Here is a 17,119-nt window from a genome sequence, read left to right on the forward strand (position 1 = left end):
TGTACATTGTATGTAATCATTATTTTTTGTGAGACTAATTCAGCAATGGGTATTAAACACACCCCTAATAATTTCCTGGGTTTGTGCTTCCCTTAGGTTTGATATTTAATACATTATCAATTTCCTTAAACTGAAATTCTAATCTAAAAAATATATAATCTACTCCATTAAAGCATATCTCATTGAAAGACCCAATATGTATCACTGATATGATACAACGTATCAGTGAAACATAAGAATGCCAGAATGCCCTTTTTCTTTTAACTAGGAAAAACATTATCTTCTTGATTAGCAATTTAAATACATTTTGTTTAAATCTGATGCTACTGGACTAACAAAAGGTTGTGAAGTTGAGACACTCCAGACACATTTTATTACACAAATAAGTGTCAGGAGAAGCAGCTATCATTTACTTTGGAAATATTTTTCTCCTGGAAGATTCTTTTGGTGGGGAGTAAATGATACGCTATTTTTGATGACAAAAGGAGTATAGAACAAGAACCATTGTAAGTCAAGAACAAAGGTAAATTCTATAGCAAAAGCCACATTCACACTATCCCGAATTCTGAACTGCTACCGTCCAAATTAGAAATTTTGCTTAGTTACATCTCCCCAAAGCAAACTAATACCAAGTATTTTTTGTCTCAATGACTGGTAACTGCTCAGACTAATGTCCTACAACAACAGGTCACCAAAAGTTACAATCTGTCAAAAGTATGTAGAGTTCCACTTTTCTGTTAAATTGAGTTTATCCTGAAACATAAGTCTTGGAATGTTATGATCACCGTATGTGTATAATCTGGAAATATAATTGAATCCTATAGAGTAACTCTCATTATATAAAGAACAAAAGAAAACTTTGGAATTAAAATATAGATTTTTTTAACTAATTTGAGGAGATTATTCATAAAAAAAGATTTTTAAAAATATTTTCAAACAAATTTCATTTAGGTGGAAAGAGGTTGCTAATTTGTAGAAAATGGATGCTGTAGCTGATCAGGTTAGCTGTTAACATGAACAAGTAACCCTCAGTTAATTATCTGCCTTATTTTTCTAATTATTAACATACTCTACAATTAAAAACTATCAAATATTTGTTTTTTAAAGGAGAATTCATTGTCACTCCCTAGGCCATGTTAATTAAGACTATTAAAATGCCTTGCAGTTACATTACTGAGACTAGCTAATAAAGTTTGGCAAAGTGTTTCTTATATAGAACTTTTCATTGAATAAAACTTAATACAACTTGGCTGCACGTCATAGCTCATGTCTTTGGGCGCCACTTTGGGAGACCGAGGCGGGTGGATCACTAGAGGTCAGGAGGTCGAGACCAGCCTGGGCAACATGGTGAAACCCCATCTCTACTAAAAATACAAAAATTAGCCGGGCGTGGTGGCATGTGCCTGTAATTCCAGCTACTCCGGAGGCTGAGGCATGAAAATTGCTTGAACCTGGGAGGCGGAGGTTGCAGTGAGCTGAGATCCTGCCACTGCACTCCAGCCTGGGTGACAAAGCAAGACTCCGTCTCAAAAAAAAAAAAAAAAAAACTTAATATAACCAAATAAGGAAAAGAATGATACTAGAGAACAATTACTGAACATGTAAAGGGATCTTTCTATATAAAATAGGACATTATAATCATGTTTCCTAAACAAGAATTCTCCCATTATTTTGTACAAGGCAGTGAAATTAGATGTATTAAAACAAACCCAAAACAAAAATTTTTTGTTTTCACCAGTTTTTCCTAACTATAAAGTTTCTATGGAGAGTACACAAAAATTCCAAAGAAAAAAAAGGCTGTTCTATGAAAAAGTTACATTTCATTTACAAAAACACTTATGTATACATAAAAAACTCACTACTACTTTGTTTATATTTTCAATTTATTAAGCAGCCTCAACAGAAAGTCATTCTGTCTTGACAGGTAGAATTTTTTTTTTTTTTTTTTTTTTTTTTGAGATGGAGTCTCTCTCTGTCACCCAGGCTGGAGTGCAGTCGCGCAATTTTGGCTCACTGCAACCTCCACCTTTCAGGTTCAAGCAATTTTCCTACCTCAGCCTCCCGAGTAGCTGGGACTACAGACACGTGCCACCACACCCGTTTACTTTTTGCATTTTTTTTAGTAGAAACAGGGTTGCACTATGTTGGCCAGGCTGGTCTCGAACTCCTGACCTCAACTGATCTGCCTGCTTCGGCCTCCCAAAGTGCTGGGAATATAGGCATGAGCCACCATGCCCGACCTAGAATTTTTTCAAATAAGCAACTGTTAACAAAAAATTCTACACATCAAATCTCAAAATTTTTTCTGAGGAGAGACATACGATCCAAAATTGTAATAAATATTCATACAACTTATTGTGAATGACCATATAAAGAGTTTACATTAATTATCACAGGGGAGTACATTTGTCAGGTTAATGATCCATGTTCTTCTTAAAAGTTATTTATAAAACATTATTTCTCCACACTGAAAAAAAAAAGCATAATACTGAGTTGATTGCTCTATTAATTTAATGTCTTAAAACTGTACAGAGTACATACACTGCATTCCCAGAGCCCTAGCCCTGCACAGTCTAGTGAGCCACGCAAGGGCCCCATGGGCACCAGAGACAAAGGTAGCAGATTGATTGTTAAGAACTAATGAACTCGAGATACGTTTAATAAGAGAAATTCTGTGGTCACTTAGGAATTTTGTAGTTCATTATTCATAACATTAAGGTTTTTTTTAGCTGGATGTGATTTGAGGGAAAGAGAAAGCAATTAGTGAGGAAATGCATGAAAATACCTAAAAGGAACATTTAAAATGAGATTAACTAAATTCCTACGAATGTGAGCAATTGTCACTTTCAAACTTGGCAGAACCATGCTGAGTCCCCATCACTCTGAAACGTTCAAACTCAGAAGCAATGTTAACCATTCATTTTATTTCCTGTACTTTCACAGAATTCTTCACGCACATGTACTAGTATGCAGAGTTAACATAGCAGGCCTGACTGCCATCCTTTGAAAGGCCTGATTACAAAACTGTCCCTTGGCTGGCATCTGGGAATTTGGATTTGGGGAGGGTTCTCACTATCCTAACTGATAGTATTCCTAAACTGATTATACAAACAATGTGGTTTATGCTCAACAGCTGACCTGCTTTTCTTCTGGGAATCTAGGATTTTAGTATATGCCAGGCAGAGGGTACCCAAGTGTCCAGCTCCCAGTAGAAACCCTGGGCACTGAGCCTCTAATGAGTTTCCCTGGTTGGCAACATTTCACGTGTACTGTCATAACTCACCGTGGGAATGAAGTGCATCCTGCGTGACTTCACTGAAAAAGGAACTTTGGAGGCTTGCACCTGGTTTTCCTTTACACTTTGCCCCATACACATTTACCCTTTGCAAATTTTGCTTTGTATCCATTCACAGTAATACACAAGAGCCATGACTAGGACTACATGGTGAGGCCTGTGAGCCCTTCCAGCAAATCAGCAAATCTGGGAGTGGTTCCAAGACTCCCAACATGTAAGTTATCAACTTATTGCCAAATTCACCCTTTTTTGCCTGCTCTGTGAAAACTGTATCTGGCCCTTTAATATTCTCCCACCAGTTGGCACAAGGGTAAGCTTTGTTGGTAAAAAGTGCGGAGAGGCCGCGTGCAGTGGCTCAAGTCTGTAATCCCAGTGCTTTGGGAGGCCAAGGCCAGAGGATCGCTTGAGCCCAGGAGTTCCAGACCAGCTTGGGCAACAACATGGCAAAATCCTGTCTCTACAAACAAGACAAAAAATTAGCCAGGTGTGGTGGCATGTACTGCAATTCCAGCTACTGGAGTGCAGGTGGGGGCGCTGCTGAGGTGAGATCACCAGAGCCTGGGAGGTCAAGGTTGCCATGAGCCATGATGGTGCTACTGCACTCCAACCTGAGCGACACAGTGACACACTGTCTCAAAAAAAAAAAAGTGCTGGAGGCCAGGCGCAGTGGCTCACACCTGTAATCCCAGCAGTTTGGGAGGCTGAGGCGGGTGGATCGCTTGAGGTCAGGAGTTCGAGACCAGCCTGGCCAACATGGTGAAACCCTGTCTCTACTAAAAATACAAAAATTACCTGGGTGGGGTGGCAGGCGCCTGTAATGCCAGCTTCTCAGGAGGCTGAGGAACGAGAATCACTTGAACCCAGAAGGTGGAGAGGTTGCAGTGAGCTGAGATCACGCCACTTCACTCCAGCCTGGGCTACAAAGTGAGACTCTGCCCCCAAAAAAAACAGTGCTGGAGAGACACTGTAGCAAGAAAGAGTTTTGCTTCCTGCACAGGGCTTGTCTAGCACCAAGCTCCTGAAATGCATGGCAGCTAGCAGCATCCAAGGGTCAGCAGCTTCCCCAAGGCTTCTTACCCTACTACATGGTTTTGTAATGGAGTACCTCTGATAAGATACTTCCCCATGAGGCTTTCTCTGGCATCCCAAGAGGCAAAACTATACCCAGGTCCAGAAAACAAATTTACAAGAAGTTCCCTGGCAAGGCACTACAGTGACTTTTCTGCCATCCTAAGAATCACAGCTGTGCCCTCTCCAATAAGGGGTGGCACTCAGCCCAGTGAGGGGAACTCTTCCTTGGATATTCTGTCTTACTCCTAAGGGCAGTGGCTATTATGCCGTATATTACAAAATATTAAAACTGCTATGATTATTATATATCTGCTATTCTTTTCAATTCTCCTTAATAATTCTCCATATTAAACTTTCCCTGTTAAAATTACAGTATGATTTATCCCTATCCAGACTAATACAGAATAATTCTTAACAAGTAATACTAAAATCACTACAAACCTGAAGAGATGCTCCCCCATACTATTGCAAATCACTTCATCATCAGGAAACAGTTCCAAGGCCTGCTCATAGCAACCAAGTAAGTCTTGTATCCGACTGAGAGCATCAAGCTCTTCAGCCCATCTGAAAAGTGTGTACTGAAAAGTTTCCTTTACAAATAAGAAAAAAATTATGAATTAGTCAATAACATAAAAGATGAAAGAATATACATCATTAGTTGAAGATTCCAAGCAATCGAACTTAATCACTATTGAACAATCACCTTAAACTTCATTTAACTTTAGTAGGCACTGTTTTCTGAACAAGTGCACAAATGAATGAATTTTACCACCTACATGGCAATAATAAGCAGAATTAGTCTGACCACTCTCTAAACTCCCCCCACTCTTAGCTGCTGTATCACATTCTCCTTATTCTCCAGAACTGCCTCACTTTTGTCGGCTCCTGTGTTTTTGGAGTTTGTCCTTGGCCCTCTTCTTTTTTCACTCATCCATCCCTAACGCATTTATTATCACCCATGTGTTAATGGATGCTACATTTACATCTCTAGTCAAGACCTTCTCTTCTGAACCTCAGACTCATAGATACAGCTTCCTATTAGTCATTTCAACCCGGCAATGGATCTCCAGCCATTGCAAATGTAGTCCAACTCAAATATTTCCTGAACAATCCTTGTGCAAAGAACTGAAGCAACATAAATCTTGTTCTTATCCTCACAGAGGCCCTATAGAGAGAAATTTAATTTTGGAAAAGTTCAAAATGTTCTACACTGAACTCATCATACTCCTCTGACACAGGCTATAAGATTAAGACACCACTCAACCTCAAACCACAAAGTCACCTTATAATGGTACCTTAACTCCACATACACTGTTTCAAACCTAGCCAATGCTCTCTCAATATCTTTAAATCTGTTACCTCCTCTCCATTCCCACAGTTACAACCTAATCTGGCCCTTGTAACCACTTGCTGGACTACAGCAACAGCCTTAACGCTGTCACTCTAATTCCAACTGCATCTCCCTCCATCCATTCTCCATGCTGCAATACTGTGGAAAGAGGGAAAGCTTTAGTCATTAAAACATTTTAAATCATCTTCACATATTTTATACAAAAGCGTTGATATTTGGAACTGAATCTTGAGGGAGTTTACTAGAGAGACAAGGATAAGAAAGGAGATTCTGGCCGGGCACGGTGGCTCATGCCTGTAATCCCAGCCCTTTGGGAGGCCAAGGCAGGCAGATCACCTGAGGTCAGGAGTTGAAGACCAGCATGGCCAACACGGTGAAACCCCATCTCTACTAAAAATATAAAAATTAGCCAAGCACGGTGGCGAACACCTATAATCCCTGCTACTCAGGAGGCTGAGGCAGGAGAATTGCTTGAACCCAGGAGGTGGAGGTTGCAGTGAACCGAGATCGCACCACTGCATTCCAGCCTGCGTGATACAGTGAGACTCTATAAAAAAAAAAAAAACCCCGCACAGATTATATGAAATGGATCAGAGGGTCTACAGATAAGTGGCTTGGTGTGGCCGGAGTTTGGGTATGGGGAATAGAGTAGCAGGCAATGAGCATTTTACAGGGGGCCCATACAAACAAACACAGACTTTGTTCGGCAGGAAACAGACTAGTTGCTTACCCTACTGAATGTCAGGCATTGCACTACAAATTTTAAATATACTTTTTTATTTTTTCTTTTTGAGATGGAGTCATACACTGTCGCCCAGGCTGGAGTGCAATGGCACAATCTGGACTTACTGCAACCTCCGCCTCCCGAGTTCAAGCAATTCTTCTGCGTCAGCCTCCTGAGTAGCTGGGACTACAGGCACATGCCACCACGCCCAGCTAATTTTTTATTTTTATTTTTTTTTCTGAGACAGAGTTTCGCTCTTGTTGCCCAGGCTGGAGCGCAATGGCGTGATCTCGGCTCACCACAACCTCTGCCTCCCAGGTTCAAGCAATTCTCCTGCCTCAGCCTCTCGAGTAGCTGTGATTACAGGCATGCACCACCACGCCCAGCTAATTTTGTACTTTTAGTAGAGACGGGGTTTCTCCATGTTGAGGCTGGTCTCGAACTACTGACCTCAGGTGATCCACCCGTCTCTGCCTCCCAAAGTGCTGGGATTACAGGCGTGAGCCACCGCGCCCGGCCTAATTTTTTAATTTTTAGTAGAGACAGGTTTTCACCATATTGGCCAGGCTGGTCTCAAACTCCTGACCTTGTGATCCACCCGCCTCCGCCTCCCAAAGTGCTGGGATTACAGGCCTGAGCCAGCACACCCAGTCTAAATATACTTTTAATACCCAGTAAACATTTTTAAGAGAGGCTGCGTCCCTGTTTCACAGAAGAGGAAACTAAGAAACAAGTAACTGAGGAAAGATCACTTGAGTTGATCCATTTTTCTATTGCTGCCTACCAAGAGAAGCAAACTGTATCTCAACATATCATCTCCTCCTCAAGTAGGACAGCTGGTCCTGAAATTTACACTAAGTTTACATGAACTACAAACATCTAGACGCTACTGACATTTAGTGGGTAGAGATCAAGGATGCTGCCAAACATACTGCAATGCACAGGACACCTCCCCTCCCCCATAACAAAGAATTATCCCATTCAAAATGTCAATAGTGCTGAGGTTGACAAACCCTCAGTCTAAATGAAGCAAAGTAATTGCAATTTTAAGTTAAATCATTTTTCGTAATTTAGATTCTAAAAGTACTTCAAAAAAGAACAGCATTTCAACAGAGTAATTGTTGCAAATAATCCAATAATTGAAGTTTAAAGAACGCATCATTAAATGATAATCACTTTAGGCTAATTACACACTTTATTCAACTAGAGGCCCACTATATTCCTACTACACACAATATAACAAATCCAAAAGCCCTCAAGCCAGGGCATGCTTAAATTAGATATAAGGAGAAGAGGATCACGTGAGACCTCATTTCCAATTCGAGGGCCTTTAAAATTTTAAACGAGATGAAAGTTTTGAAACTGAGAAATGACAACATTTGACTTTTGTTGCAAAAAGCTAGCTATGTTGACACAGACTGCAGGAGAGAGCTCAGTTGAGAGCCGACTGCAACAGCCGGCAGATGACTGAAGCTCGAACCAGGGTAGTAAAGGGGAAGATGGTGAGAACTGGTAAGATTCTGGACATATTTCGAAGGTGAAGACGGCAGGATTTTCCTCTGGGCTGGTCGTAGGTGTGAATAAACGAAAGATGTCAAGGTTGAACAGTAAACATTAATAGCAAACACCCAACCAAGCACCCTAGCCCCTCCGCCTTTTTTCTTTTCTTTTTTTTTACGAGGACGTTGGATCGGCCAGCAAGTGAGAAAAAAGGGCCCTAAATATTAACAGCAACCACCCACCCAGGCACCCTAGCCCCTCCGCTTTTTTTTTTTTCTGTTTTTTTTTTTTTTTTTACGAGGACGTTGGATCTGCCAGCAAGTGAGAAAAAAGGACCCTCACCTTCACGTCGTGTTTCAGCTCCGGCGCCAGGCTGAGCACGAGGAGGTAGTGGGCATAGGCAGTGCCGAAGTCCTGGACGCCCAGACAGTGCTCTGCGCTCTGCAAGGACCGCGACACCAGCTCGTCCCGGCCGGCTGCCCCAGCGCCACCCCCGGCGTCTCGGCGGGACCTGGGCCGCGAGTTCGACATGGCAGTCACCACTTGTATGGCCAAAGGGAAGATATTTTGTAAACGTAATTAGAAAACTCTCTCGATGCTACACTTCCAGGGACCAGACAACTGCTCAAAAAACAGCACAGCAAAGTTACCCTCCGCCGCGGGTGAACTCGCCAACCCCAGCCCAGGCGGAAGCTCCGCCCCGTCCTGGCCCCGCGGGCGGCGCAGACCGTGACGCATACCCCACTATTGCGCACCTGGCCAGCGGCGCACGCTACGCGAACGTCAGCGCGCCCGACGTGGGCACGTCACTGCTGCCCATTCCCGCAGGAGCGACCACTGTGCGTGAGCATAGGAGAACGTCTGTGGCAGGACCTGTCCGGTCTTGCGCCCTTTTTTTTTCCCGGCTGAAAGCAGAGCTTTCTCTCCCTCTTGCACTCCGGGAGTGTGTGGCTTTCGACTGCAAGACCCTGTTGTACAGACCCAGGCAGCGCGAAGCGCCACCCGCTCATGAGGGACGGTCAAGCATTTGTGATGATGCTTAAGACATTTTGGATCGTGATGCACAAAATTTCAAGACCTGAAAGAACCTGGAGATAACAAAAGCATCTCAGACGTGGTAGAGGAAATGCTTTCACAGGCATTTCAAATCATTCTCACAAAACCTGGCTAGGTGGACCTTTGGATCACACTCGTCTTAATGATGGCAAACGTGGTATCTTGAGAAGTGACTTGCTGGAGGTCACACAACCAGCTAGTGGCATAGGCATGGTTCAAATCCAAGTTCTCTGACCACCTATCTGTTCAGTTATAAGATGAGCTTAGGGGTTATTTCACTGTTCGTGTCTTATCACTGTATAGTGTTTACATTAATACAAAGTTTTTCCACATTCAAGTGTGGCCTCTAAGATACAGATTCGAAACTCAAAGGGAGGGGAGCATAGTTATTACGGCTGAAAAGTTATTTTTGTCCCCATTTTCAAATTCATTAATGGATAATATCTTAAATCGAGCATTTTGCATATCACACTAATACATTTTGAGGGCTCCTCTAATTCTCAAAAACACGTCATGCATTTTTGCCTTCTCTTCTGATCCAATTATCTGAACTACCCTTTTTTCTGAGCACTCGCCTGTGTAAATCCTAATCCGTTTTTCAGGTTCCAGCTCACTACATTGTGAGCTATTCTTAATCACTTTTGTGACCTTTGCACCTAGCGGATTATGATGCAAAGTAAGGACTTTGATTTTTTCTTCTTTCTTTTCTTTCTTTTCTTTTTTTTCTTTTTTTTTTTTTTTTTTTTTTTTTTTTTTTTGAGACAGAGCCTCACTCTGTCGCCAGGCTGGAGTGCAGTGGTGCGATCTCGGCTCACTGCAACCTCTACCTCCCAAGTTCAAGCGATTCTCCTGCCTCAGCCTTCCGAGTAGCTGGGATTACAGGCATGCACCACCACGCCCGGGTAATTTTGTCTTTTTAGTAGAGACAGGGTTTCTCCATGTTGGTCAGGCTGGTCTCAAGCTCCTGACCTCAGGTGATCCGCCCGCCTCAGCCCCCCAAAGTGCTGGGATTACAGGCATGAGCCACTGCACCAGGCCAATTATTTGCATTTTTTCGTGGTTTATCTATAACTTCAAGATTTTCTGTACATAGAATAGGTCATTTGAAAAAATGGAATGACACAAATAACATGGAACATCTGGTCACCTTAAGAAACTGGAATTGGCAACAGCCTTTCATGCTAAAAACTCTCAATAAATTAGGTATTGATGGGATGTATCTCAAAATAATAAGAGCTATTTATGACAGACCCACAGCCAATATCATACTGAATGGGCAAAAACTGGAAGCATTCCCTTTGAAAACTGGCACAAGACAGGGATGCCCTCTCTCACCACTCCTATTCAACATAGTGTTGGAAGTTCTGGCCAGGGCAAACAGGCAGGAGAAAGAAATAAAGGGTATTCAATTAGGAAAAGAGGAAGTCAAATTGTCCCTGTTTGCAGATGACATGATTGTATATTTAGAAAACCCCATCATCTCAGCCCAAAATCTCCTTAAGCTGATAAGCAACTTCAGCAAAGTGTCAGGATACAAAATCAATGTGCAAAAATCACAGGCATTTCTATACACCAATAACAGACAGAGAGCCAAATCATGAGTGAATTCCCATTCACAATTGCTTCAAAAAGAATAAAATACCTAGGAATCCAACTTACAAGGGACGTGAAGGACCTCTTCAAGGAGAATTACAAACCACTGCTCAATGAAATAAGAGAGGACACAAACAAATGGAAGAACATTCCATGCTCATGGATAGGAAGAATCAATATCGTGAAAATGGCCACACCGCCCAAGGTAATTTACAGATTCAGTGCCATCCCCATCAAGCTAACAATAACTTTCTTCACAGAATTTGAAAAAACTACTTTAAAGTTCATATAGAACCAAAAAAGAGCCCGCATTGTCACGACAATCCTAAGCCAAAAGAACAAAGCTGGAGGCATCATGCTACCTGACTTCAAACTATACTATAAGGCTATAGTAACCAAAACAGCAAGGTACTGGTACCAAAACAGAGATATAGACCAATGGTACAGAACAGAGCCATTAGAAACAATACCACACATCTACAACCATCTGATCTTTCACAAACCTGACAAAAACAAGAAATGGGGAAAGGATTCCCTATTTAATAAATGGTGCTGGGCAAACTGGCTAGCCATATGTAGAAAGCTGAAACTAGATCCCTTCCTTACACCTTATACAAAAATTAATTGAAGATGGATTAAAGACTTAAATGTTAGACCTAAAACCATAAAAACGCTAAAAGAAATCCTAGGCAATACCATTCAGGACATAGGCATGGGCAAGGACATCATGACTAAAACACCAAAAGCAATGGCAACAAAAGCCAAAATTGACAAATGGGATCTAATTAAACTAAAGAGCTTCTGCATAGCAAAAGAAACTACCATCAGAGTGAACAGGCAACCTACAGAATGGGAGAAAATTTTTGCAATCTACCCATCTGACAAAGGGCTAATATCCAGAATCTACAAAGAACTTAAACAAATTTACAAGAAAAAATCAAACAACCCCATCAAAAATTGGGCGAAGGCTATGAACAGACACTTCTCAAAAGAAGACATTTGTGCAGCCAACAGACACAGGAAAAAATGCTCATTGTCACTGGCCATCAGAGAAATGCAAATCATAACCACAATGAGATACCATCTCACACCAGTTAGAATGGCGATCATTAAAAAGTCAGGAAACAACAGGTGCTGGAGAGGATGTGGAGAAATAGGAACAATTTTACACTGTTGGTGGGACTGTAAACTAGTTCAACCATTGTGGAAGACAGTGTGGTGATTCCTCAAGGATCTAGAACTAGAAATACCATTTGACCCAGCCATCCCATTACTGGGTATACACCTAAAGGATTATAAATCATGCTGCTATAGACACATGCACTCGTATGTTTATTGCGGCACTATTCACAATAGCAAAGACTTGGAACCAACCCAAATGCCCATCAGTGATAGATTGGATTAAGAAAATGTGGCACATGGCCGGGCACGGTGGCTCACGCCTATAATCCCAGCACTTTGGGAGGCCAAGGCAGTCGGATCACGAGGTCAGGAGATCGAGACCATCCTGGCTAACACGGTGAAACCCCGTCTCTACTAAAAGTATAAAAAATTAGCCAGGCATGGTGGCAGGCACCTGTAGTCCCAGCTACTTGGGAGGCTGAGGCAGGAGAATGGTGTGAACCCGGGAGGTGGAGCTTGCAGTGAGCCGAGATCATGCCACTGCACTCCAGCCTGGGTGACAGAGCGAGACTCGTCTCAAAAAAAAAAAAAAAAGAAAAAATGTGGCACATATACACCATGGAATACTATGCAGCCATAAAAAAGGATGAGCTCATGTCCTTTGTAGGGACATGGATGAAGCTGGAAACCATCATTCTGAGCAAACTATTGCAAGGATAGAAAACCAAACACCACATGTTCTCACTCATAGGTGGGAATTGAACAATGAGAACACTTGGACACAGGAAGGGGAACATCACACACCTGGGCCTGTCGTGGGGTGGGAGGAACGGGGGAGGGATAGCATTAGGAGATAAACCTAACGTAAGTGGCGAGTTCATGGGTGCAGCACACCAACATGGCACATATATACATATGTAACAAACCTGCACGTTGTGCACATGTACCCTAGAACTTAAAGTATAATTAAAAAATAAAAAAACAGAGCAAACCAGAAACAGAAGGAAAAAAAAGAAACTGGAATTGGCTGGGTGCGGTGACTCATGCCTGTAATCCCAGAGCTTTGAGAGGCTAAGGCTGGAGAATCACTTCAGGCCAGGAGTTCAAGACCAGCCTGAGCAGCATAGCAAGATTCCACTTCTACAAAAAATTTAAAATAAAAAAGTTAGCTGGATGTGGTGACACACATCAGTGGTCCTAGCTACTCAGGAGTCTGAAATGGGAGGATCTCCCAGGAGTTCGAAGCTTCAGTAAGCTATGATTGCACCACTGCACTCTAGGAACAGAGCAAGACCGTGTCTCAAATAAGTAGATAAACTGGAATAGTAAATATATTTTGATTACTATTTTTTGTTCCTTTATTACCTCAGTACTGGTTGAGGCTGAGTTACTTAAGATTCTTCATCTTTATGAAGATTAACTGAATTTATTGTAATTACCTTTCATGCCTTTTGGAAGAGCCCTATATTCAGAGAACCCAGAAGTACAATGAAAAACAAAGGCAGAATGTAGGTTATACTTTTTTATTCTTTTTTTTTTTTCGAGACAGAGTCTTGCTCTATTGCCCAGGCTGGAGTGCAGTGGCACGATCTTGGCTCACTGCAAGCTCTGCCTCCCGGTTCACGCCATTCTGCTGCCTCAGCCTCCGGAATAGCTGGGACTACAGACGCCCGCCACCATGCCTGGCTAATTTTTTTTGTATTTTTAGTAGAGATGGGGTTTCACCGTGTTAGCCAAGGTGGTCTCGATCTCCTGACCTTGTGATCCACCCGCCTCGGCCTCCCAAAGTGCTGGGATTACAGGCATGAGCCATCGTGCCTGGCCTACTTTTTTATTCTAAATCAAAGATTTCTTTAGAGACATTGAAAGCATCACTTTTTTGTTGACAATAGCCGTTTTGCCCCTCACAACTATTATCTTTACCTCTGAGAGTCTATTTGGTTCCTTCCTTTGCATTTCCTTTTTACCCTCTTTTAGGATTCTAAGAAAAACCTCAATGATATAGAAGACCACTGCTGACTGGGAGGCAGGTCCAAATGTGGTTGTGTTTCATCGTATTCTGGGCACCTTGTCAGCAAACCACACATGCCAAACACAGAAGTAAAACCAGCTGAAGGGCTCTTAGTCAAATTTCCAATGTGCAAAAGTTTAAGGTTAACAGGTGGGAAAAATGCTCGTAGAAAGTGTATTAAAAAGGAGCCGGGAGCAGTGGCTCATGCCTTAATCCCAGCACTTTGGGAGGCCAAGGTGGTCAGATGACTTGAGGTCAGGAGTTCAAGACCAGCCTGGGCAACATGGTGAAAACCTTGTCTCTACTAAAAATACAAAAATTAGCTGGGCGTGGTGGCGTGAGCCTGTAGTCCCAGATATTCGGGAGGCTGGGGTGGGAGGATAGTTTGAGCCTGGGAGATGGAGATGGAGGTGGCAGTGAGCCCCAATCATGCCACTGCACTCCAGCCTGGGTGACAGAGCCAGACTCGGTCTCTAAATAAATTAATTAATAAAAAAGAAAAATATAGCATATTAACAAGGGACAAACAGCTTGTTGGACACAAACTATCCTGTGTTTATAAATGTGGAAGTTCTTTTTTTTTTTTTTTTTTTTTTTTTTGAGATGGAGTCTCACTCTGTCACCCAGGCTGGAGTGCAGTGGCGCTATCTTGGCTCACTGTGTACTCCACCTCCCATGTTCAAACAATTCTCTGCCTCAGCCTCCTGAGTAGCTGGGATTACAGGCGCCCACCACCATGGCCTGCTAATTTTTTTTTTTTTTTTTGGTATTTTTAGGGGTTTCACCATCTTGGCCAGGCTGATCTTGAACTCCTGACCTCATGATCCACTCGCCTTGATCTCCCAAAGTGGTGGGATTTCAGGCATGAGGCACTGCGCCCAGCCTGGTTCATTCTTTTTTTCTTTTTCTTTTTCTTTTTTCTTTTTAGAGACAAGGTATCTATCACTCTGCTGCCCAGGATGGAGTGCAGTGGCACGATTATAGCTCACTGCAGCCTCAAACTCTTAGATCAAGTGATCCTTCTACCTCAGCCTCCTGAGTAGCTGGGACTACAGGTCCACACCACCACACACAACTAATTTTTTAATTTATTGTACAGATAGAGTCTTAGCATGCAGCCCAGGCTGCCCTCGAACTCCTAGCCTCAAGCAATCCTCCCACCTCAGCCTGCAAAAGTCCTAGGACTGCAGGTGTGAGCCACTGTGCCCTGTGAGGTTTATACATTTTTCTGTGATCTGGTTTGTTTTATTTTTGGTTTGGAGCCCTGTTCGCAACCCTTTGTGCATTTTAGGATTATTTAGGGAGCTTTTAAACAGTATCAGTGCCTAGACCTCATCCCCAGAGATGCTAATTTAGCTAGCCTGGAACAGGGCTGGGCATGAGTATTTTTGCTATGGTTATCTATAGATTTAAAGATGTGTGGTGGCTCATACCTGTAATCTCAGCACTTTGGGAGGCTGAGGCAAGTGGATCACCTGAGGTCAGAAGTTGGAGACCAGCCTGGTTCAACAAGGCAAAACCCCGTCTCTACTAAAAATACAAAAATTAGCCGGGCATGGTAGCACGCACCTGTAGTCCCAGCTACTTGTGAGGCTGAGGCACAATAATCACTTGAACCTGGGAGGTGGAGGTTGTAGTGAGCCAAGATCGCACCACTGCAAAAGAAGTCATTAAATATCTGATTAACCTGAAATGGAGGCGCTAAGGAGAACTAGAGAAAGGAAGAATTGAAAAATGTGACAAAAACAAAGACTACAGGACTTAAAACAACTACATGATAGGAGTAGCAGGGACATAAGAAAAAGAGACAGAGTGAGACTCTGTCTCAAAAAAAAAAAATTAAAGATACTCTCTTTAAGAGATATGTTATAAGACATAAGGCCAATGTAGGGAGTGAAAATATAATTTTTATGACCTGTTAGAATTGTGAGGATTCTCTCAATTGAATTATTTTGAATTTAAGTAATTATTATACGATGAGGAATAGAATGTTCATCTTACTGAATTACCTGTTGAAGAGAAAATTTTATAATTGGATCAACAAAATACTATGGCTACAGACCAACTGTTGGGATTGAAATTTACTTTGATACATTCTCACTGCTAAGTATTTCCAGCTTATTCAATATATTTAACTAAAATTAGGATACTTTGTTGTTTTATAACAGCCCTTTTCTAATTATTCCATATGCAATTTCAAAATCTAGAAGTCAATTTAAATATAAAATTGTAATAATGGCCAGACTAATGCTGGGTTTGGAATCTGAGTGTTCTCAGTGTACAAGGTCCTATAATAATATGACAGCAGAGTTCAGAGATGATATGAGGGAAAATCCACTTGAGCGCTACTCTGTACCAGGTCCATTCTCACTCTGCTATAAAGAACTACCTGAGACTGGGTAATTGACGAAGAGAAGAGATTTAATTGACACACAGTTCCACAGGCTTAACTGGAAGCATGACTGTGAGGCCTTAGGAAACTTATAACCATGGCAGAAAATGAAGGGGAAACAAGTACCTTCTTTACGTGGAGGCAGAAGAGAGAACGAAGGGGGAAGTGCCGCACACTTTTAAACCATCAAATCTCATGAGAACGAGAATAGCAAGGGGGTAATCTGCCCCCATGATCCAATCACCTCCCACTAGGCTCCTCCCCTGACATGTGGGGATTACAATTCAACATGAGATTTGGGTGGGGAGACAGAGCCAAACCAGATCACCTGGTTTAGGCAAAGCATCCTTTTTAAAATTTCTCATTGTCCCCTGATCATAATGCTGTCTCAGCACTTAACCTATTATGTCCAAATGGTCTGTTTGTCCTCCTGACTAGAAAGTGAGTTCCTAGGCCTCAAGGAAGTATGTCTTATTCATTTTTCATCACTAGCATTCAAAATAATAACTAGAACAAAAGAAATCATTAAATATCTGATTAACCTGAAATGGAGGCGCTAAGGAGAACTAGAGAAAGAGGAAGAATTGAAAGATGTGACAAAAACAAAGACTACAGGACTTAAAACAACTACATGATAGGAGTAGCAGGGACATAAGAAAAAGGGAGAATTAGGCCGGGCGCAGTGGCTCACGCCTGTAATCCCAGCACCTTGGGAGGCTGAAGCAGGTGGATCACCTGAGGTCAGGAGTTCGACAGCAGCCTGACCAACATGGTGAGACCCTGTCTCTATTAAAAACACAAAAATTAGCCAGGCGTGGTTGCGGGTGCCTATAATCCCAGCTACTTGGGAGACTGAGGCAGGAAAATCGCTTGAACCCCGGGAGGCGGAGGTTGCAGTGAGCCAAGATTGTGTCATTGCATTCCAGCCTGGGTAACAACACTGAAACTCTGTCTCAAAAAAAAAAAAAAAGAAAAAGGGAAAAATTGAAGATGATGCCAGTACT

At 42.3% G+C, this 17,119-nt stretch overlaps 1 protein-coding gene across 6 annotated transcripts in view; it reads right to left on the reverse strand.

The window, feature by feature from the left end:
- Positions 1-8,648, reverse strand: part of PRMT9 (protein arginine methyltransferase 9) — a 46,379-nt gene extending 37,731 nt beyond the window's left edge. For 4 of the 6 annotated variants that reach the window (NM_001350143.2, NM_001350144.2, NM_001350141.2 and 1 more), the window contains exon 1: positions 8,284-8,648. Coding sequence is in view for 1 of the 6 variants with exons in the window: in NM_138364.4 (NP_612373.2) it covers positions 4,808-4,956; positions 8,284-8,472 (338 nt within the window). In the remaining 5 variants the exon portion in view is untranslated. Of the gene's footprint in view, positions 1-2,105; positions 2,241-4,807; positions 4,957-8,283 lie in introns of all 6 variants that reach the window. The other 2 variants (NM_001350142.2, NM_138364.4) reach the window with 2 other exon arrangements.

Source organism: Homo sapiens, chromosome 4 (assembly GCF_000001405.40).
Source record: "Homo sapiens chromosome 4, GRCh38.p14 Primary Assembly".
Classification (NCBI taxonomy): domain Eukaryota; kingdom Metazoa; phylum Chordata; class Mammalia; order Primates; family Hominidae; genus Homo; species Homo sapiens.